A 21231-nucleotide genomic window follows, 5' to 3' on the forward strand; every position below is an offset into this window, starting at 1 on the left:
TGATGTCTCAGGTCTCCCTGAAATCTATAAAACCAAACTGTGTCTGGGTGCGGTGTCTCACACCTGTAATCTCAGCACTTTGGGAGGCCAAGGTGGGCAGATCACGAGGTCAGGAGATCGAGACCATCCTGGCTAACACGGTGAAACCCCGTCTCTACTAAAAATACAAAAAACTGGCTGGGTGGGGTGGCGGGCGGCTGTAGTCCCAGCTACTTGGGAGGCTGAGGCAGGAGAATGGTGTGAACCTGGGAGGCGGAGCTTGCAGTGAGCCAAGATAGCGCCACTGCACTCCAGCCTGGGTGACAGAGCGAGACTCCATCTCAAACAAACAAACGAACAAAAAACAAAAAACACCCCAAAACCAAACTGTGACCTGACCACCTTGGGCACACGTCATCAGGACCTACTGAGGCTGTGTCATGGGTGCATCCTTAACCTTGGCAAAATAAATTTTCTAAATTGATTGAGACCTGTCTCAGGTATTTTCTGTTCACAACCCCCAAATTATTAAAGTCTATTAACAACAAACAGCCACAAAAAGTCCAACCCAGTTCTTCTGACCCCAGTCTTTGGCTTTCTACTCCTGCAGCAACTACAAGAATTATGAGGCAGCAAAGGGTATTGGCTGAAGGACCCCGAGTGCTTGATCTGAAAGCCACCAAATCCAGAAGATGAGGCACCTGAGAGCAGCTGGCGGGATGGTCGGGAATGGCTCAGCCCACATTTTCAGATGCATTTGACTTCACTTCCGGAATAGAGTGAAGCCTTTCTTGTGGGAAGATCAATGCAGGCTGGCATTTCAACATGGTGCCAAGGTCAGGATCTCACTTTCCTAAGTGATTACCTGCATCTCTGCCCCGAGGGGATCTGCTCACCTTACTCAATCAGGTGATGGTTAGATCTTTCTCAACACCTTTTTCTTTCAAGTAAATCTCAAGTTGCTTTGCCCAGAAAACAAGGAAAACCGACTCCTTCCTACACAGAGAATAGATTCCTGGATTCTCTGCGATTATTTAATGTCAGTGGAAAAACATTCTCATTACTGTAGCTGGGAAGAAAAAAATGTGTTGCACAAGTGTGATTTCTATTCAGGACGTAGTGTGGGTTTGTGAGTAGCATAAAGAAATATATAAAACGCCTCCTTTATTAACTCGTTAAAATATGAAACAATAAACAGAAATGAAATACAATGTAATGAAATCAATATATAAGTTAGGGTTGTTTTTAATTATAACTTAAATTAACCAGGGTATCTCCATTGTGCAAGAATTTATTTCCAAAACTAAAATGAAGTCTATAAACGTGCACTCAATTACACCGGGGAATTGCAAATTTTCTGTCTTCTGGCATTCAAAAGATTTTTGTTTCATTAATGGCTAAAATGATTATAACCGCTTGTATACTCATTTCCTTTACCAAAGGTGCTTATCTCCTTTCCTGAGTACACATAGTTTGAGAGTAAAATTAATTTGTCCCTAAAGAATTATTTTGACCTCAAAAACAAAACAACAAAACAAAACAAAAAGAACAATGATTTCTGACATGAAGGCTCCAGAGATGTAAGTCGGGTTCTGGGCGTCCGGGGGCCCTTTAGAGACCCTCAGGGGTTCCTCCAGCAAAGGGGAACGGCTGAGGTTCCAGTCCTCATCCAGACAGAAGAACTCAGCTTTGTTTTAAATATAGGACTTTCTTGCTTCCCTTGAAAAATGAAAAAATGTTTGAAAATCACTCCTTCAGCAGGGTGTATGATCATGGTGTAGGTTCGGTTTCAGACAGAAGAAGGTGGTTCTGTGTGAATATGGTTATGCATTTGGTCTATTTGTTGTTTTGATTTTTTTTTTCATAAGCACTTACAAAGCAATATAGGTAAGTGTGGGGAGATAGCGTGGGTTCCCGTGAGAAATAATACTGATCTCTTTCTTGTGCCTCAGCTGAACAATTTGAAACCAAGCATTTTATTTTTTTCTGTGCTAAACAATTGATATGGTTTGTTGTGTTCCCACCCAAATCTCATCTTGAATTGTAGCTCCCATAATTCCCACGTGTTGTGGGAGCGACCTGGTGGGAGGTAATTGAATCATGGGGGCGGTTCCCCCTGTACTATTCTCACGGTAGTGAGCCTTATGAGATCTAATGATTTTATAAGGGGTTTCCCCTTTCTCTTGGCTCTCATTCTCTCTTGACTGCCGCCATGTAAGATGTGCCTTTCATCCTCTGCCATGATTGTGAGGCCTCCCTAGTCTCATGGAACTGTGAGTCCATTAAGTGTCTTTTTCTTTATAAATTACCCAGTCTCGGTTGCGTCTTTATCAACAGCTGAAAGCGGACTAATGCAACAATACTATGACAAGGGGAAAATGACTTGGCTCCAGTAAATCTTTGTTTGACCCAATCACAGGCTACACACTGAGGCCACCCTGGCTCAAGGCTCACTTCAAGACCCACCTTGCAGGACAAGCAGTTCTAAGCTCACAGGTCACACCCTCTCCCCAATCCCTCCAGTTGCTGCCCTGAAACACTCACCTTAAAGCTGCCCAGCCCAGGCCTGAAACCCTGAACGTATCTTCCTCTATTCCCATTTTGAGATACCCCGGATGCTATGTCAAGGTGGTTTTTTATCTGCAGCGGGTCCAACAAGCCTGGATTTGGTGATCAACAAAGCCCTTCCTTGGGTTTTTGGAGCATGAGCAACCAATATAAGGAACTTGATAGGCCAAATGATGGGAATTTAATGTGCAGATTGTCTTAAACAGATTCCCCCTTGGTAGACAGAGCTAGGTAGGCCAGACGGTGCTGCTGTTGGGAGGATTTGCTGGTGAACAATCAAACGCAGAAAGATGGCACCAAGAGTCACCCTTCTGCGGCTGGAACATCGCCTGGATGAAGGCAGAGAAAACCTTTCTATGCCTGATACCGAGCTCGGAATTTTGGCCTAAGGAGGAGAAAGTGGGTTCGACAGCCAGAAGTCAGGGAACAAAGGCAGGAAGACAGCCCGACCCTGGATGGACGCCAGCCCCTGCCTTGGGGTTCACACTCAATTCTGGAGGCAATGGGGTGTGGGATCTGCTTTGACACAAATTCATGAGAAAAAGATGTGGAGAGCTTCGCAGATGACAAGATCGATACAGATCAAGACAGAGCTCCTGACAGAGGCAGCATGGCCTCCGATGCTTGGAGGAGTCGGCTTGAGGCCTGGCTGGCTTTGTTCTGATCAGGCCTATCCAGCCCAGAACCACAGCACAGCACCCTCATCCACATTTTAAAAAGCTCCCAAATCTAAAACCCTGTGGCTGGGAGACGTAACCTGAAGCGACCTAAGGCTCTTTGTCTTCTTGTGTACCCCTCTTCCTCTGAATATTCCTGTGTTCTCATGCACAAGTTACTGGCATGGCTCCATCAGTCCACTGGTTATTATTTATGTGCACCGAATTCCTTCCTTTCACATCGGAAAGACCCTGGTTCTGAATTCTGCCACATTTGTGGCGAACAGATGGTGGGCATTTTTAGGACTGATACTTTCATATGGGAACCTACCCACCTTCAGCCTGACCGCCAGCCTCCAGGGGAGAACGTATGGTGGAAAGGTGCGGACCCTGCCACGGTCAGGGCATCCATGGTCGGGGCATCCACGATCAGGGCATCCATGGTAGGGTGTCCACTGTTGGGGCATCCATGGTCAAGGCATCCACGGAGGGGCGTCTGCGGTCAGGGCATCCATGGTCGGGGTGTCCATGGTCGGGGTGTCCATGGTTGGGGTGTCCACAGTGGGGCATCCATGGTCAGGACATCCACGGTCGGGGCGTCCATGGTCCAGGCGTCCACAGTCTGGGCATCCAGCTCCATCAGAACCATGGGCCCCGCCTCTTTGGCCTATGCTTGTCCATGGCCACCCCTGAGTTAGAAGCCTGCTGGCTTCTGTCCTCGGCTGCTTGTCCCCCATCCCATGTTTCAGGAGGTTTTTATTTTTATTTTTCATGTATGAGATGGAGTCTCGCTCTGTCGCCCAGTCTGGAGTGCAATGGCATGATCTCAGCTCACCACAACCTCCGCTTCCTGAGTTCAAGCAATTCTCCAGTCTCAGCCTCCTGAGTAGCTGGGATTACAGGTGCCTGCCACCATACCCGGCTAATTTTTTTGTTTGTAGGAGACAGGATTTCACCATATTAGCCAGGCTGGTCTCAAACTCCTGACCTCAGGTGATGCACCCGCCTTGGCCTCCCAAAGTGTCAAGTGGTTTTTAAATGGTCCTTCTGGCTTCAGCAGGTGCTCCTCTGGGAGCCAGGCTGTGAGCTGTGGGCTGGCCTTGCTGGATTTGGGGAATGGGCCTGAGAGAGTGTCCAGGCCCCTGTGGGCTGTGTGAGGTTGGCCTGGCTTGCTGGCAGCATCGCCTCCATGGTTGCTCCCAGCACCTCCATGTCTTGGGTGCCCATGTGGTATCATCGCAAGGCATAGTGGCGCTGAGCCTGCACAGGTCAGTGGCCTTGGTGACTTCCATCTGTGCTCATTTTCACATTTTGGTTGTGGCACCCAGCCCATTAGGAGCCTCAGATTGCTTGGCCAGACTGGGATCAGCTATTAATACCAGGAATTCAGGTTTTAATTAAGCATGGGTGAATCAGGCTCAAGATAATAGCTCCATATGACGAAGTTCATTCCATAACGTTGCTGGTTCTAATGTGAATGGGTTCTCGTTGATTTTTATTCTAAATTTCATTTTTATGAATAATATATCCACATGGTTAAATAAAAAGTGGAAAACACATAAAAATAAGGCAGCAGTTCCCCCTCCTGCCCAGAGGCATTTTCTCTGGACCTGGTTCCTCATGGAGGCAGCACCAGTGTCTGTCATCGTGGTTCCCCTCTGGCCGTTAGACGAGAGGCTCTGCAATGCTGACCGGAAAAAACCATGTGCTTTTGTCAGGCTTGGAGATTTGCAGCAGTCTTTTCATGTATTTCATGTAGAGGTTGTAAAAGTTGGTAGCATAGTCAAACTCATAGAAACAGAGAGCAGAAGGGTGGTTGCCAGAGCCGGAGAGTCGTGCAGGGGGTTGCTGGTGTGAGGTGGACGGTGGACGGTTTCAGGGATGGGAGGAGTGCCTTCTGGAGACCTGATGCTCAGCACGGGAAACGCAGTCAGTAACCGTGCGTCGTCTGCTGCAGGAGCTGTGATGAGAGAGTCTCCAGGGTGCTCAGGTTACTCAGTAAAAGGGGAACTGACCACCTGAGGCCACAGGCGTGCTACTGAGCACAGATGTGGAAATCGTTTCACAATGTACCTGTCCATCTAATGCCACGCTGGGCTCCGCAAACAGGTGCAATTTCTATGTGTCGATTATACCTCAGTGAAACTGTTCTAAGAATCTGTGTCCGAAGCCTTTTTAATTCATCCTTTGTGGTTCCTCAGAAGAGGATTCCTCAACCTTGCCTGGGCTGGGGCCTCACCGGGAGCCTGGTCCCCAGGTTATGGACTCCGCCTGAGTTTGATGGGTGTGGGTGGGAGAAGCCACCCTGAATCCAGACGCAGCACCAGAGGCAGGGCTGCTGCTGTCCCTGCCTCGGCCACACTGCAGGGCTGCTCGGAGGCTCCGCGAGGGCGTGCCATCCCCTTCCTTCTTTCCTCCCTCTCAAAAATGCCCCTTCGTACCCCCACCCACAGCTCATTCCCACTAAGCACTGTTAAAAGGGTTCGCTGCTGAGGGTCTACAGCTGCATTATTGGCGAATGCCTGGACCCAAAGGCATCGAGACAGTGGGGCTGCATTTGGGGGCAGGGGTCTTCATGGGAGCCCCTGAGTTCATTCTGTGCCCTTTTGGGGGTTGGGGGACTGCTCCCTGTCTTCAGTGTCTGTGCAATTCAGAAAGTGCTCTCTGGGTGCCACTTCCCTCCACATTAAATGGATCTCTAGTTTCCCTGTCTCTGAATCTCTCTTACACACAGAGGCGTGCACGCACACACACACACACACACGCACACACTCACCAGGACCCCCCCACCTGCCGCCGTCTTGTTGGACGAGGTGGCAGATTGTGTTATGCTTGTCTGACATGATTCCACTTATGCCTCCCATGGAAAACTCCTTAGGGCAGGGACTTGGTTCAGCACAATTTCATCTATTATTCAGCAATCTCTGTGTAGCGCTGGTATCTTGTAAGTGATAAATTATTATAATGAAAGAAAATCTTCTTGCCAGTTCATCTTGGAAAACACAAGATCGACCTCCGGCCGGCATCCTTCACCTCACCCACCAGCCTGTGGACAGCGGCTCTCAGGCCCTCCTGGGCAGGGGTTCCGGCTCTACGGCTGACCCTGGTACATGGGCTTTTTACAACCCTGGTTTTCCCCGGATTCTCCTGTCAGGGTGGGATCCCTTTAGAGTGAATTCAAGATCTTGTTTAGGAAGGTTTGGAAGAAGATGCTGAGAGCACCAGACACCCAGGATGGGATAAAATGCTTTTGATGACAATAATAAGCTCAGATGCCCTCGCAAGTATAACAAAGCCCAGCTCCTCCTCCGTGCCACATGATCCCCTCTGTCACCCAGCTCCCCTGGCCCAAGCCACACTCTGTAGGTCTCCTCTCTGGCATGGTCCCCTCTGTCACCCAGCTTCCCTCGCCCAAGCCACCCTCCATAGGTCTCCTCTCTGGCATGGTCCCCTCTGTCACCCAGCTCCCTTCGCCCAAGCCACCCTCCATAGGTCTCCTCTCTGGCATGGTCCCCTCTGTCACCCAGCTACCCTCGCCCAAGCCACCCTCCATAGGTCTCCTCTCTGGCATGGTCCCCTCTGTCACCCAGCTTCCCTCGCCCAAGCCACCCTCCATAGGTCTCCTCTCTGGCATGGTCCCCTCTGTCACCCAGCTCCCTTCGCCAAAGCCACCCTCCATAGGTCTCCTCTCTGGCATGGTCCCCTCTGTCACCCAGCTACCCTCGCCCAAGCCACCCTCCATAGGTCTCCTCTCTGGCATGGTCCCCTCTGTCACCCAGCTTCCCTCGCCCAAGCCACCCTCCATAGGTCTCCTCTCTGGCATGGTCCCCTCTGTCACCCAGATTCACTCACCCAAGCCACCCTCCATAGGTCTCTTCTCTGGCATGGTCCCCTCTGTCACCCAGCTTCCCTCGCCCAAGCCACCCTCCATAGGTTTCCTCTCTGGCATGGTCCCCTCTGTCACCCAGCTTCCCTCACCCAAGCCACCCTCCATAGGTCTCCTCTCTGGCATGGTCCCCTCTGTCACCCAGCTTCCCTCGCCCAAGCCACCCTCCATAGGTCTCCTCTCTGGCATGGTCCCCTCTGTCACCCAGCTTCCCTCACCCAAGCCACCCTCCATAGGTCTCCTCTCTGGCATGGTCCCCTCTGTCACCCAGCTTCCCTCGCCCACGCCACCCTCCATAGGTCTCCTCTCTGGCATGGTCCCCTCTGTCACCCAGCTCCCTTCACCCAAGCCACGCTCCATCGGTCTCCTCTCTGGCATGGTCCCCTCTGTCACCCAGCTCCCTTCGCCCAAGCCACCCTCCATAGGTCTCCTCTCTGGCATGGTCCCCTCTGTCACCCAGCTTCCCTCACCCAAGCCACCCTCCATAGGTCTCCTCTCTGGCATGGTCCCCTCTGTCACCCAGCTCCCCTGGCCCAAACCACACTCTGTAGGTCTCCTCTCTGGCATGGTCCCCTCTGTCACCCAGCTCCCCTTGCCCTAGCCATGCTCCATAGGTCGCCTCTCTGGTCCAACAGTGTCAGGTGACCATGAGTGCCCAATACTCTTGAGTTTATTTAAATCATATGAAACATCCTTTAGGTGACTGGTAATTAGAAATACAAGCAATGACAATTTTTTAAAATTTAAATTCCTCAAGTATGGTCCACTGTACACCATTTCTGCGAAGTAGTAATAAGTGCGGGCTTAAAGAAGCAGAGAGTTCTGTAGTCTCAAGAGTTTAGAAAAGTCTTCTTTGAATTAATTAATTTATGATTTGGTTTGTTTTTGCTTATAACTGTGGCTCCTCAGCAATATTACTTCTAACGTGACTGCATGGACAAGGTTGATGATGGGCAACTTTTTCCAAGTTTATTTGACTTTTACCCTTCTCTCTCTTTTTTCCTAATACAGTGCTTGGTAGAATGGTTTGGGGGAATTTTATAAGAATGAGCCCTTGAGAGTAGAATTTGATGATATGTGAAGTGCTTCTACATGACATCTTCTGCCCGGCCCATCTCATGGGATTCGGAGAGCTGCAGGACCCATAAGAGCCATCCAGTCAGCTGCGGCTTGTCCTCCTGATGTACTGACTTAAAAACAAGTCTGTGAGGCCGGGTGCAGTGGCTCATGCTTGTAATCCCAGCACTTTGGGAGGCCGAGGCTGGTAGATCACGAGGTCAGGAGTTCGGGACCAGCCTGGCCAACATAGTGAAACCCTGTCTCTACTAAAAATACAAAAATTAGCCAGGCATGGTGGCGGGCGCCTGTAATCCCAGCTACTCGGGAGGCTGAGGCAGGAGAATCGCTTAAAATCCAGGAGGCAGAGGTTGCAGGGACCTGAGATCGTGCCACTGCACTCCAGCCTGGGTGATAGAGCAAGACTCCATCTCAAAAGAAAATCAAAAAACAAACAAAACAACAACAACAACAAAAACCACGTCTGCGTGACTGCCTCCCGGGGCGAGGTAGCATGCCTCCTGTCCACATAGCTGTAGGTTTCTCTCTCCATTTTTCTCCTCAGGTCTTCTGTGGTGGGGCCATTTTCACCTCAAGTCTCCAAGAGCAGGGCCTTTCCACCCAGTCTGTTGGAAAGGATTTTGGCGTGGGTGTTTGCCGTGAGCAGATGTTGCTAACTCACCATCAAGCGGCCCAATCTCTCTGAGTGGGCTGAGCAAACACCCTGGCTCCAGCACAGGGCCTCAGACAGACCCTTTGCAGTGGCCTTAGCACTGAGAGAAACGCCCACTCCTCGTTTTCTTGGCTAAGCAAGGGGCTCCTTTTCAGAATTAACAGTTAAAGCAGCTTAGGCTGCTGGAGCAAGATCAAGAGCCTGTGCTGGAGGACGCTTAAAGAGCCTCCAGTTTTTCAGCCAGTGGCATGATATCAGGTCCTGTAAGTGGAGACTCGCAGAATTGCACAATCCGGGCTCCCTTCCTCCCACCACTTCGTTGTATCGGGGCAGAGCAAGGCTTGAAGATGTGTGGCATACCTGTGGTGGGGTGCCATCCACGCATCCAGCACACAGCCGCTGAGCGCCCACTGCCTCCCCCATCTCTGCTGGGGACCAGGGCTGTGCTGCAGGATCTGAGGAAGTGCAGGAAGCGGTCTTTCCTCAGGGGCTTGGTGGCTCATTCCTAGACCTGCCCGCCCAGCACAGACAATGCAGGGAGCCAGGTGGCACCTGGGGCGTGGCCTGAATGTCATACGGAAGCTGAGGCTTGGGAACGGTGCACTTATAACATAGCCGAGGTTCCTCCGCATGGATAATCTTTGAGCTGGCTTTTGGAAAATAAGTAAACATTTGCAAGGCACAGAAAAAGATAAAAACTTTGCCCTCAGAGAACAGATGATGATTAAATTCAAGAAATGCGCTGAAGAACAGCTTGCCTGCATGGAATTCCTGTGTTGAGAAGAGAGGGTCTCAGAGTACAGCAACAGGGAGACCAGAAAGACCAACTGAGCACCCGGCAGTGGCATCAGACAGTATGGTATGGAGGCTAGGCCTCACCCCAGGGCACTGGCTAAGGACGTTCAGAAGGATCAACACATCAATACAGTCAGATTTGTATTAGAAAAAATAGTGTGGAGGGCGGATGTGGCAGGGGCATCTGCTGGTCGGAACCATGGCTGCCATCAGGGTCAGAGGCTGAGGGCCGAGGCTCAGCTGTCACCATGAGGCCAGACCCTGGGATTCTTCCCTGTCCTCCCAGTCCAATGCCTTTTCCCTGGAGCCCCATGCAGGCACTGCTTGTTCTGCACAGACCCCAGAGAGACCAGAGAGAAGTATTCTGCATGGTGCCTGTCTTCACAATTTCTACAATTCAGCCGAGAGACAAAATCCTCCCAGGTGAACCATTTTAAAAACATTTGTGCCGGTCATAATGGACTTCAAAGTTGGTTTGTGGGGATCCACAGAGATCAGAGCAGCCCTAGGCCCAGCAGCTTTGGACATCTACATGTTGGAGCCTATGGGGAGAATGAGCTCACTTCCAGGAAAGTAAATGTGCTGTGTTCCACAGCCCGCTGGCCTCGCTCATGCCTTCTGCACTCTCCAGGTGTGTGCTTCACAGACAGGCTGCTCTGCCTACGGCTTTGTGGTCTGTTTCCACTTGTGGCCAGGTCTCATGGACACCCCTTCATGACTTGTTCACAGAAAGAGTGAAGGGGGCTCTCTTCATGCTGGTAACCAGCCAGGTGCAAGAGCTGGATGACTGGATTTTGTGGACTGCTGGGTTGCATATATCTTTAGGATGATTGTCTTCTAAGAACTCATATTCAAAAATGACAATAACATAGTTTGAAGTGGTACTCAATGGCAATGACATTTTTGACAAGGAAAACAGTGATGGGCATCAATTGGAACATCATGATTGTTTTTCTTATATCCCATTTACTTGTGGGGAAAAACCAACAAGTTTATCTTGTTTAGGAGTAAAATGGCTCAAGTATAAAGAAAATCTTCCATGAAGAGGGATCCTTTTGGCCTCCCTGTAAGCATTACTGCTCTATAAATGATTTAATAACACTGATAATGACCATCGGCAGCTAGGAGAATAAAGTCCGGCACCGGGAGAGAAATGTCACTTAACAAATATTCACGTGCAACCCCCTGCACTAAGAGCTGAGTGAAGCCCCCTGGAGAGGCCCCATCAGGACAGAGGCTTGCAGGAGAGATGCTTCCTGGCACAGGCCCTGATCCCTGCAGGGGCTGGGGAGGTGCCGAGGATGGACCCGCTGGCTGAGTGGCTGAGACCAGGGGAGCACTGCTCAGAATAGGATGAGGGAATCGGTGTCACCCGGCCATGAGCCCCGGGACACAGAGCACAACCGGACAGAAGCACCTCCGGGAAGGCCTGTGGGGTCCGTGGGGTCTAGTGGGGAAGATGGCAATGTTGACGAAGTGGCAAAGCAAGGGTGTCCCGCAGCAGGAGGGAGAGTGGGAGCAAGCCAGGATTTACTGGCACCCGGAGGGTTTAGTCTTTTATTCCATTTCCCGTCACTGGTGCCCAGAGTCTTCTTGGGCAAAAGGGAATGGGGGGGCTTCATCGCCGACTTCTCTCCACGGTGGGTGGCAGTGTGTGATTGTTAAAGGGAAAGTGAGCCTCCTGCCCAGGAGCCACGAGACTCAAGAAAGTTCACTAGAACTACCGACCACAGTATTAAGGAATTATGATTATATAGGCACAGAGCATGGAATAATTATACATTATGCTGATGGTGCCTTTCTTTTGAAGAGTTGTAAGCCTTCATTAAAATCTTGCAAATGACAGTAATGAAATGAAAATAAAGCCTTTCAAGTGAAGCCCTCTGGGTGTTTTTCTTTTCTCTTTTGGGGGAGGGGGATATGTGTATATAGCAAAAATGAAGCAGATATTTAGGTGACTATGATTTTTATCATCTTTAAGGCAATTCCCAATTGACAGAGTAAACAGACAACCTACAGAATAGGAGAAATATTTGCAAACTTTGCATCTGACATAGGGTCAATACCCAGAATCTACAAGGAGCTCAAACAACTCAACAGAAAAAAAATAACCTCATTAAAAAGTGGGCACAGGACATGAGCAGACATTTTCAAAAAGAGACATATGAGGGGCCAAGAAACATATGAAAAAATGCTTAACCATCATCACTAACCATCAGAGAAATGCAAATTAAAACCACAATGGGACATCGTCTCACACCAGTCAGAATGGCAGTTATTAAAAAGTCAATGAACAACAGATGCTGGTGAGCTTGTGAAGCAAAGGGAATGCTACTATGCTCTTGGTGAGAATGTAAATTAGTATAGCTTCTATTGAAAACAGCTTGGAGATTTTGCAAAGAACTAAAAATAGAACTACCATTCAGTCCAGCAATCCCACTACTGGATATCTACCCAAAGGGAAAGAAATCATTGTATAAAAAAGATGCTTGCCTTCCTTTGTTTATTGCAGCACTACTCATAATAGCAGAGCATGGAATCAACCTAAGTGTCCATCAGCAATGCACTGAATAAAGACAATGTGGTACATATACACTGTGGAATACTATGCAGCCATGAAAAAGAAAGAAGTCATATCTTTTACAGCAACATGGATAGAGCTGGAGACCATTGTCCTAAGAAAAATAACTCAGAGCATGTATCAAATGCCACATGTTCTGACTTGTAAGTAAGAGCTAAACAGTGAGTACCCATGGATACACTGAGTGGAAAAGTAGACACTGGAGGCTCCACAAGGCAGAGGGCAGAGGTGGGGGCATGAGCTGAAATGTCACCTGCTGGGTGCCCTGTTTACAATTCCGGTGGTGGGTGCACCGAGACATTCCCTGCTGGGTGCCCTGCTCACAATTCCAGAGGTGGGTGCACTGGGACATCCCCTGCTGGGTGCCCTGCTCACAATTCCAGAGGTGGGTGCACTGAGACATCCCCTGCTGGGTGCCCTGCTCACAATTCCAGAGGTGGGTGCACTAAACCCAGACTCCACCACTATCCAATATATGCATGGAAGAAATCTGCAGCTATAGCCCCCAAATCTATAGAAATAAAATAAATGAGGATCATAACTTAAAATAACAAAAGCAAGTCCCCACCACCCAGCCTTGCTCAGATGCCCACAGTAGACAAATATCCGTGGAGAAACGGGTGGCGATGTGGCCCATTGCTTGGACCGAAACGGGTCGGGGATGTGGCCCATTGCTTGGAGTCCTGATGCTGAGCTACACACAATTCCGGAAGATCCTGACAGCAAGCCCCTGAGAGGAGAGGAGGAAGGATCCCTGGGCAGGAGGAGCCCACAGAAGATGCAGAAGGCCCCAGGAGAGCTGGCGTGGGGACACGAAGGAGCTGGCTGTCTGGGGAGCTCTGGGTCAAAGCTTAAGCAAGCCAGGGAGAGCCCTGGCCCTCTGGTCAGGAGGCAGACTGGAATCCGCAGACAGAAGCGAAGGGATCTCCCAGGCAGGGATCTCACAGCCTGCGGCACCCAGGCAGGAAGGAGTGAAGCCCAGGGGAGGGAGCGGATGCCCATGAGGTTCCCAACCGGAAGCCCAGGGCCGCGGTGCACACCTGCTGTGTGGCTGGACAGAGGCGCAGCTGCCGGTGTGTGGTGGCCCCAGGCCCTCAGCTGTTACCATGCAGCCCAGTATTGTAGCTCACAACCAAGAGTGCCATGTTAACGGGAGGACTCAAAAGAAATCTTAATTGATAAATTGAGAAAGTGTGTATGTGTTTTGTGAGCTACCAGTGTATCTCAGACGTAAAATTCCAGCTTCCCAGTTTATGATTGGCACGGGCCATCCTCCCTGCAGCGTTGACTCGCTTGACAAAGAGTTTCAGGGGCTGAGGGGGTGGAAACAAAGATGGAAAGGCCGTGGAGAATCTCACTGTTCTATGACCAGGGACTGACCCAGAGGCTTCTGTTTGCTGAGCTGCAAAATGAGGATGATGACGGGTGAAATTCATACAAGAACTGTACAGATTAAGTGAGAAACATGTAAAGTGTGTGTCACTTTGACCTGCAAGCATGCAGTGACGACCGGTAGCTGTGAATACTGCCACTGTCATCACTATCATCATTTCCACGACCATCTCACATTATGATCCTGTGTACAGGGAAGCACGTATTGGAAATATGGGTTTGGGGAGGGTGTAGTCCTGAAGAGCCGTTAATTAATATTTTAATACACATTCATGGTACCAGAAAGGACACTAAATTTATGTGGAAGATGCAACCCTCCCAGTTGGACTTTAAATCACAACAGAAAGACAGATTGTGAAGTGGGTCAGTGAGGGGTTTAGGAAAAAATTCGCACCTGGCCTCTTAAGTATCCCTTCCTCTGTCTGGAAGCCTTTGTGAAACTTTGTTTTTTTTCTCTTTTTGAGACAGGGTGCTGCTCTGTTGCCGAGGCTGGAGTAGAGTACAGTGGTGCTATCACAGCTCACTGGAACCTCTGCCTCCCTAGGCTCAAGTGATTCTCCTACCTCAGCCTCCCAAGTAGCTAGGACTCCAGGCATGCATCACCACACCTAATTTTTGTATTTTTTTTCTAGAAATGGAGTTTCACCATGTTGCCCTGGCTGGTCTCAAACACTTGGGCTCCAGAGATCTGAGCACCTAGGCCTCCCAAAGTGCTGGGATTACAGACATGTGCCACTGTGCCCGGCCTGTGAAATAATTTGATGACAACAATTGCTTCTACTTTTTAAAAAGTCATGAGGACTCCACGTGACAATGCCAGGTTCACCTGAGGGTAGGCCACATGTGGTATAAATAGTGCAGAAATGGGAGTGGTGGGAAAAGCAAATCTGCTGGCAGGGAGAAGCTGCAGCCTCAGATGGGCCCATTAGGTGTTTGCCTGGGATGGGGTGCTGAGGCCTGGCTACACTTAGGGAAACTGGCATTGGCAATACCTTATCCCAGAAACTGCTGGCCTTCATTGCCCGGGTCCAATCCTATTGTTAACACCTGATAGAGGATGGATATTAAGATTCAAGCAGGAGGCCGGGCACAGTGGCTCACGCCTATAATCCCAACACTTTGGGAAGCTGAGATGGGGGGATCATCTGAGGTCAGGAGTTTGAGACCAGCCTGGTCAACATGGCGAAAGCCCCGTCTCTACTAAAAATACAAAAAGTAGCTGGGCGTGGTGGTGCGCCCCTGTAATCCCAGCTACTCCGAAGTCCGAGTCATGAGGATCACTTGAACTCAGGAGGCGGAGGCTGCAATGAGCCGAAATTGCATCACTGCACCCCAGCCTGGGCAACAGAGTGAGACTCTGTCTCAAAAAAAAAAAAAAAAAAAAAAAGATTCAGTGTTACCAGAAAGGACACTAATTTATTATGTAATAGCTGCTCCGACTAGAAGGAGTCCCATTGATTTCCACTCTCCCATTCTTCCTATTTGGCAGGGAACTTAACAACAGCACATGTTTGGGCAAATCTATGATTCTCTGAGGCCCCTGTTCCATGGTGATGCTAAATCCCTCCTCCCAGGTGCATGTGAAAATGGCATTCTATGGTGGAGAGGAAGCAGCCAGCACGCAGCTCCTCAAGGCAGATTAGCTGGTGGGAGCGATGATGACGGCGGCCGCAGAAGCAGTGACTCTTGCAGCAGGGCCTTGCTCAGTCTCAGAGGCTGATGCTACGTCTAATTCATGAGAGGAAGTGAGCTCTGAGTGTGAAGAGCCTGCAGTACTCAGACACAAGTTCAGACAGGTTTGCATTGGCCACAGACCGGCTGCTCAGAACAGAAAGCCAGTTTGCCTGTTCCCGTCCTCTTTGGAACACCCAACTCATAAAGTCACAGAGACACCACGTGTGGCTCAGAGACTCAGTGGGAGCTTCCCTAGGTTTTTGTGAAGCCTGTGAGTGGTCACTGGAGCCCAGGCGTCAATGACCAAGTGGAAGATAGGCCAGGTGGGCCCCCACTGGTGGCCATCGGACAGAATCCAGGTTCGGCTCTGCAGTGTGGGTCTAAGTTAACTTTAGTCCAGTTTTCTTGCCAGCATGCCCTTCTCACAGTAAACGGTTTCCTGTGCCCTGAAGGAATCTCCCCATCTCAGCCTTGCCAAATGCATTCAATTTTCCTGTAACAACATGATTTAAAGCCTACTTTAAAAAATAAACACCGATCTTAGCTATTGTGTCTTAGCCAGAGAGCTGGCCTCACAGGAAAAAGGCTCATGTCTGTTCCTTTTGCATGAAACTTGGCATGCTGTACACACGTTAGAAACATGTGCTGAGCTGATGAGCAGCTCACCAAAAAGAACCACAAAGCTGATCGGTGTCCAAGGAACGTTGGTGGGAGAGACGATGTGCTCCTGACGACAGCCACCTGCTCCCCCGAAAGCCAGCATCAGCCGCTGCGGTCTGTGCTCCGGGGTACTTCCATGCATCTTTCAAAGAAATCTTTAGGAACAGTTGTCACTGCAATCCTTGTGGGTCACAGTGAGAAAAGTTCAGTTTCAATAGAAAACTAAGCCACAGATAAAACAAAGCAAAAGCAAAAGCATTGAATGTGAGGGGGTCCCATTCCCTTTGTGGAAACCCAGGACTCAGCAGAATTCATGGACGTTCTTAGTAGAGTCAGCCATCACTACAGCAAGTTCTCCCTCAGAGATGGACTCTTGGAAGCCACTGGCAGGAGGGCTCATGGGAACCGGTGCGTGTTGGGTGCTGTGTGCAAACGGAGCAGGGACAGGCTCAGAGGGCCTGAAGCTGGCGGGGAAGTCGCTACCCTACCACCCAGCGATGGCTGGCTGTCCTGCAGTGGGTTCTGCTGACTCCACACGGGGGACTGACTCCCAGAGACCCTGATGTGGACTTTCAAACTGGCACCTGCTGAATGCACACCACGGGTGGTCAGGCCAGTAGGGTGGAGGAGCCGCTTCCCGAGGTTCCTTCTGTGCCTGCAGAGGCCTGAGAGCCAGGTCCACTCTGCTTTCAATGCCACTTTTGAGCGCGTTGTGTTTTCCCAGCGTCTCCCTCCCCACATCAGCAATTCCTCACACCACGCTGAGGGAAGAATGGCTCCCGATGACAGGCCTCCCAAGGAATGGAGGAGGGGAAGCGTGATTTTTCTCCTTTCCTCATCCCTCCGGCATCCATCGACTCTCCATGATAAATGAGGAGGGCACGACTTCTTTTGTCATTGGAGAAACTGACTCCACATTGCACAGCCAGGGAGAGGCTATCCTGGCTATTTCCTCAAGAATGAACCTTGATGGTGGCTGTGCAGATACACACACACATCCACATACATATGCACACACACCTGTACATACACATCCACACACATATGCACACACACCTGTACATACACACATCCACACACATATGCACACACACCTGTACATACAGACACACAACACACACACACCTGTACATACACACACATCCACATACATCCACACACATATGCATACACACCTGTACATCCACACACATATGCACATCTGTACATACACACACCTCTACATACACACATACACATATCAACACACACACACTTGTACATACACATATGAACACACACCTGTATATACATAGATGCACATCATGCGCACACCTGTACACACATGCACACACAGACACACATCAACACGTGCACACACACCAACACACACAACTGTACACACACATACACACATCAATATAAACACACACGCACACACACCTATACATACACACAACACAGACACCTGTACACACATACACACATCAACACACACACCTATACACACACACCTATACACACATAAACACACACACACCTGTACACACATTAACACACACACACCTGTACACACATTCACACATGTGGCCGGGGTGGAGCTGGGATGAGGAAGATGGATTCTTCGGACAATTGGTAGGCAGCACCCCCGGATGACAGCAGGGCTGTGTCAGGGACGGCCATGGCTATGGCTCTTCCTGGTGCCGCATTGACAAGGGCCAGGAAGCAGCACCGGCTTGGAGCCCGACCCTGGTAGTCGCTCCGCTCTAAGGACCTTTGCACCTCGAGGTCCTGAGTAGGGCCAGCCCTGCTACCTGGACAGAGATGAGGATCACAGGACTGAAGATTTCTGCTTGTGAAAAGGATGTCCCCTAACCTCCTACCCATAGCGTCTGAAATCACCCTGATTAGAACGATTTCCTTGGCCGAAGGAAGGCCTGAGTGTCACCGAGAGAGCACGAGGTGCCCAGTGCCATGGAGGTTCTCTCTACGCTGCCAGTTGCACTTTTGTGGTTTATGTGACAGCTCACAGTATGTACAGTGGTCATAAGTCACAGTCACATACAATTTTAGAGCTGTGATCTTTTTTTTTTTTTTACCATTTTCAAATTTTATCGTAAAAAATGGAGTCCTAAAAATTTGATAATTTGCTTAGGCACAAACTGTAGTATTAATATACAGTCATATATATTTTATTTATTTATTTATTTTGAGACAGAGTTTTACTCTGTCTCCAGGCTGTAATGCAGTGGTGTGATCTCAGCTCACTGCAACCTCTCTGCCTCCTGGGTTCAAGCGATTCTCCTGCCTCAGCCTCCTGAGTAGCTGGGATTACAGGTGCACACCATCATGCCTGACTAATTTTTGTATTTTTAGTAAAGATGGGGTTTCACTATGTTGGCCAGGCTGGTCTCAAACTCCTGACCTCAAGTGATCCACCCACCTCGGCCTCCCAAAGTGCTGGGATTACAGGCATGAGCCACTGCCTCTGGCCAATATTTTATATCTATCTATCTATCTAGTCAATACTCAGTCATCAATCAGCATTTACTATGAATTTTTCAGAAAAATATATTTTTTTCAGCTACTACAGAACCCAGATAAATTCTAGCTCTCAAGGAATGGCCTTATAAAGTATAAACAATAAACAGTATTTTCTCCAGAAGTTAGTGAATGTCAGAGCCTTTTTTGCATTATCTCATTTTAATCTTTACAAGAATTATTTGATGTCGACCCGACGTTGACTGTTTCTAGAAGAAACTGATGTTGAAGGCGTGGGTGTGGCTTCCCTGTGATCTCCAGGCTGGGAACAGGCAGGAAGATTCGACCCAGATCCCTAGAGCCCTGGGTCAGCCCTTCCTGGAAAGGGAGAGGGAGTGGATGGAGAATTACTCCAGGGAGAGGCCAGGCACTGTTTTGTTTGCACTGCCACGGTTTACGTTTTCACACCACAATCAGAAATACTGTAGCACAATTTAGGGGTAAAATACAAAGAGCCTGGTTTTGTAGTGTTTTGAATCTTACATCTGCTGTATATTCTCTTTACTGTTAACACCAAAAGGAAAGAGCTGCTGTGAATCTATTACCTGTAACCGGTCCTTGTCTCCTCTAAGCCTGTTCCTCCTCAACGCATGAGAACGTTACAATGAGTTCATGCATCAACTATAGTGTCTGGTGTATTTTATTTGGTTCTAGATTCAAGGGGCACCCAACCACTTCTCGTGGTAAGTTTGGTGAGGACGTCTGTGTGCATGAAGCTCTGAGCAATACTACAAGTGTCTCCCAATTTTATCATTTCTGCTATGACGGAGATGCATACTATAGCCAAAACTCAGAAAAGAGATAAAAAGGGCAAACTCTTATGGTCAGAGAACTCAAAAGGCACATTTTCCATGCAATTATTTTTGTAACAGCAGAATAAACCCATTTATCTAATAGAGTTATAGTAATAAATAGTATATTCAATTTTTCGTAGGGATGATGGAAATGTCATCTACATAAAGCCAGACCGAAAAAGCTGTTTTCAAACAGACCCTCAGGGCAGAATCCATGGTTCAGGTGAGTCCTCCCTTCCTTCTCTTCTTCTGGCTGGCAAGCCATGCCTTCTCTTTGTGGCCTCAGTGGGTCCCTGAGCGCCTCGTTCCTTCAGCCTGGGGTTTACAGGGAACCCCTGAGGGTTTGCTGGTCACTGATGCAATCAGGTTCTTGTGATTCCACGCAGCTCTTACTGTGACAATGTCACCTTCCCGTCTCTCAGAGGCATTGCCCAGGGAGCGAGGTGGGCCTGGAGACCACTGGTGCCCTTCTTTCCTTGCCAATCTCTGATTCTGGATTGAATGGGTATGAATGGTCTCCTCTGAGAAGCCTGGATTTAGGATTCAGTAAAAAGTCCAGGGTGACCATTTCCTACTGCACTTGCACTTATAATTCTACTTGTAACTTATTTTTAATATATGTAGTTTCTATTGGGATAAGGAAAATGCACTTACTTATTCAAGTCCTAGTAAGTTGCTTTTTATAACTATTTTCTTAAAAAGTAAGTACCCAACCTACAGCTACTATTGCCTGAGGAGGCAAAACATTTTGGATATATAAAGAGGGCCCTTACCTTTGAAAAGAAATGAAATTTCTGCTTTAGATGTCTCAATAACAGGAAGAGTGATGCAAAAGGGCTTCAACGTATATTGGCTTAGAATATGAATTTATGGACAACTTAGAGAACGTTAAGAGGACTAGCAGCCCATTATCTGGCAAATGAATGTCTAAAGTCAATGATTGGAATGAAATAAAATATTGATTTTCATGACAAAATGTCCATAGAACAATCAGTTTGGGTGAACAGCTGCACAGTTCTGGAATTTAAACATTCAAACAGTCTAGTGATCACGATGTTTACCAATCAATTTGTTAGTGATTTAGTTTAAAGGATGGCATTTACAATATGTATATTTCTTTCACGTGAAAATTACACGCAATTCAAGATCATTCCCGTTGGTGATTCCTGGGCTGGGTTTCAGGTTCTCCATGTCTCTTCCCCCGCTCCTTCCTTTCCTGTTGCCCAAGTTTGGGCATGCAGCTGGTGTCCCAGCACCTTTCTGGGGGCCTACAGTCTTCACCCTATGGCACTAGTTCTCGAAGTTCTCCTCACATGGGGCTTAGAAGTGCAAAGTCAAGCCCCAGCCCAGACTCTCTGAGCTGGAAACCTGAGCGGGGGGGAGCATCCTGGCTGTGCCTGGCAAGCTCCCAGGTAACCCTGGACACACCTGGTGAGGAGTGTGAAAGAATGCTCTCTACGCAAGCAGGTGAGAGCCCTGCTTCACAGCCCAAGGAAGGGACGTGGGAAAGGTTTAGGGCCTGCAAGAGACAATATGCCTTTCAGACAGAGGCTGATTGGCAAAACATGCAATGAGATGAATCCATCAAGCCTGTGTCCATCCCAAGTCCGAAGGAGACCACGAGAGAGCCAGCTAGAGTCCCACAGGTGGTCAAGAGGGAAGAAAAGGTGCAGGGAAGGGATGATTTCTTTCTGGCCGGAAGTTCTTTCTCTAAGCAAGCAGGTTTAGCGGTAGTAGAAGGGACTCTATGGGAGTGTGGGTTGGGGCACTTGGAGAGCTGACAGGCTCCTGCACAGACTGAACAGGAGACACACTGGGCTGGTACCTGCTTCCTGCACGGGGAACAGAAGCCATTGAAGCCAGGGCCCATTGAGTCAACAACAAGTGTGTGTCAGGCAAACTAAACCTGAGGTTCACATTACCCCAGTGAAACGGCCTGTGCTGTTGTGCCATTTTGTACTGATTTTGTCCATCCATGACAGAATGTGGGGCAAATA

At 49.0% G+C, this 21231-nt stretch overlaps 1 protein-coding gene across 1 annotated transcript in view, besides 2 other annotated features; it reads right to left on the reverse strand.

The window, feature by feature from the left end:
* ADARB2 (adenosine deaminase RNA specific B2 (inactive)) overlaps positions 1-21231 on the reverse strand; it is a 560213-nt gene that overhangs the window by 408399 nt on the left and 130583 nt on the right. The window lies entirely within an intron of this gene.
* Positions 8963-9257: a silencer, noted in NCBI's record as "tiled region #9114; HepG2 Repressive non-DNase unmatched - State 10:DNaseD, and K562 Repressive non-DNase unmatched - State 22:ReprW". NCBI's record gives its function as "represses a minimal TATA promoter and a strong SV40 promoter by Sharpr-MPRA in HepG2 and K562 cells {active_cell/tissue: HepG2 | K562}" and the evidence as "EXISTENCE:reporter gene assay evidence [ECO:0000049][PMID:27701403]".
* Positions 16489-16995: an enhancer, noted in NCBI's record as "H3K4me1 hESC enhancer chr10:1644395-1644901 (GRCh37/hg19 assembly coordinates)". NCBI's record gives its function as "activates a minimal SCP1, AML or CMV promoter by ChIP-STARR-seq in primed H9 embryonic stem cells {active_cell/tissue: H9 hESC(primed)}" and the evidence as "EXISTENCE:reporter gene assay evidence [ECO:0000049][PMID:30033119]".

This window comes from Homo sapiens, chromosome 10 (genome assembly GCF_000001405.40).
Source record: "Homo sapiens chromosome 10, GRCh38.p14 Primary Assembly".
Lineage (NCBI taxonomy): Eukaryota > Metazoa > Chordata > Mammalia > Primates > Hominidae > Homo > Homo sapiens.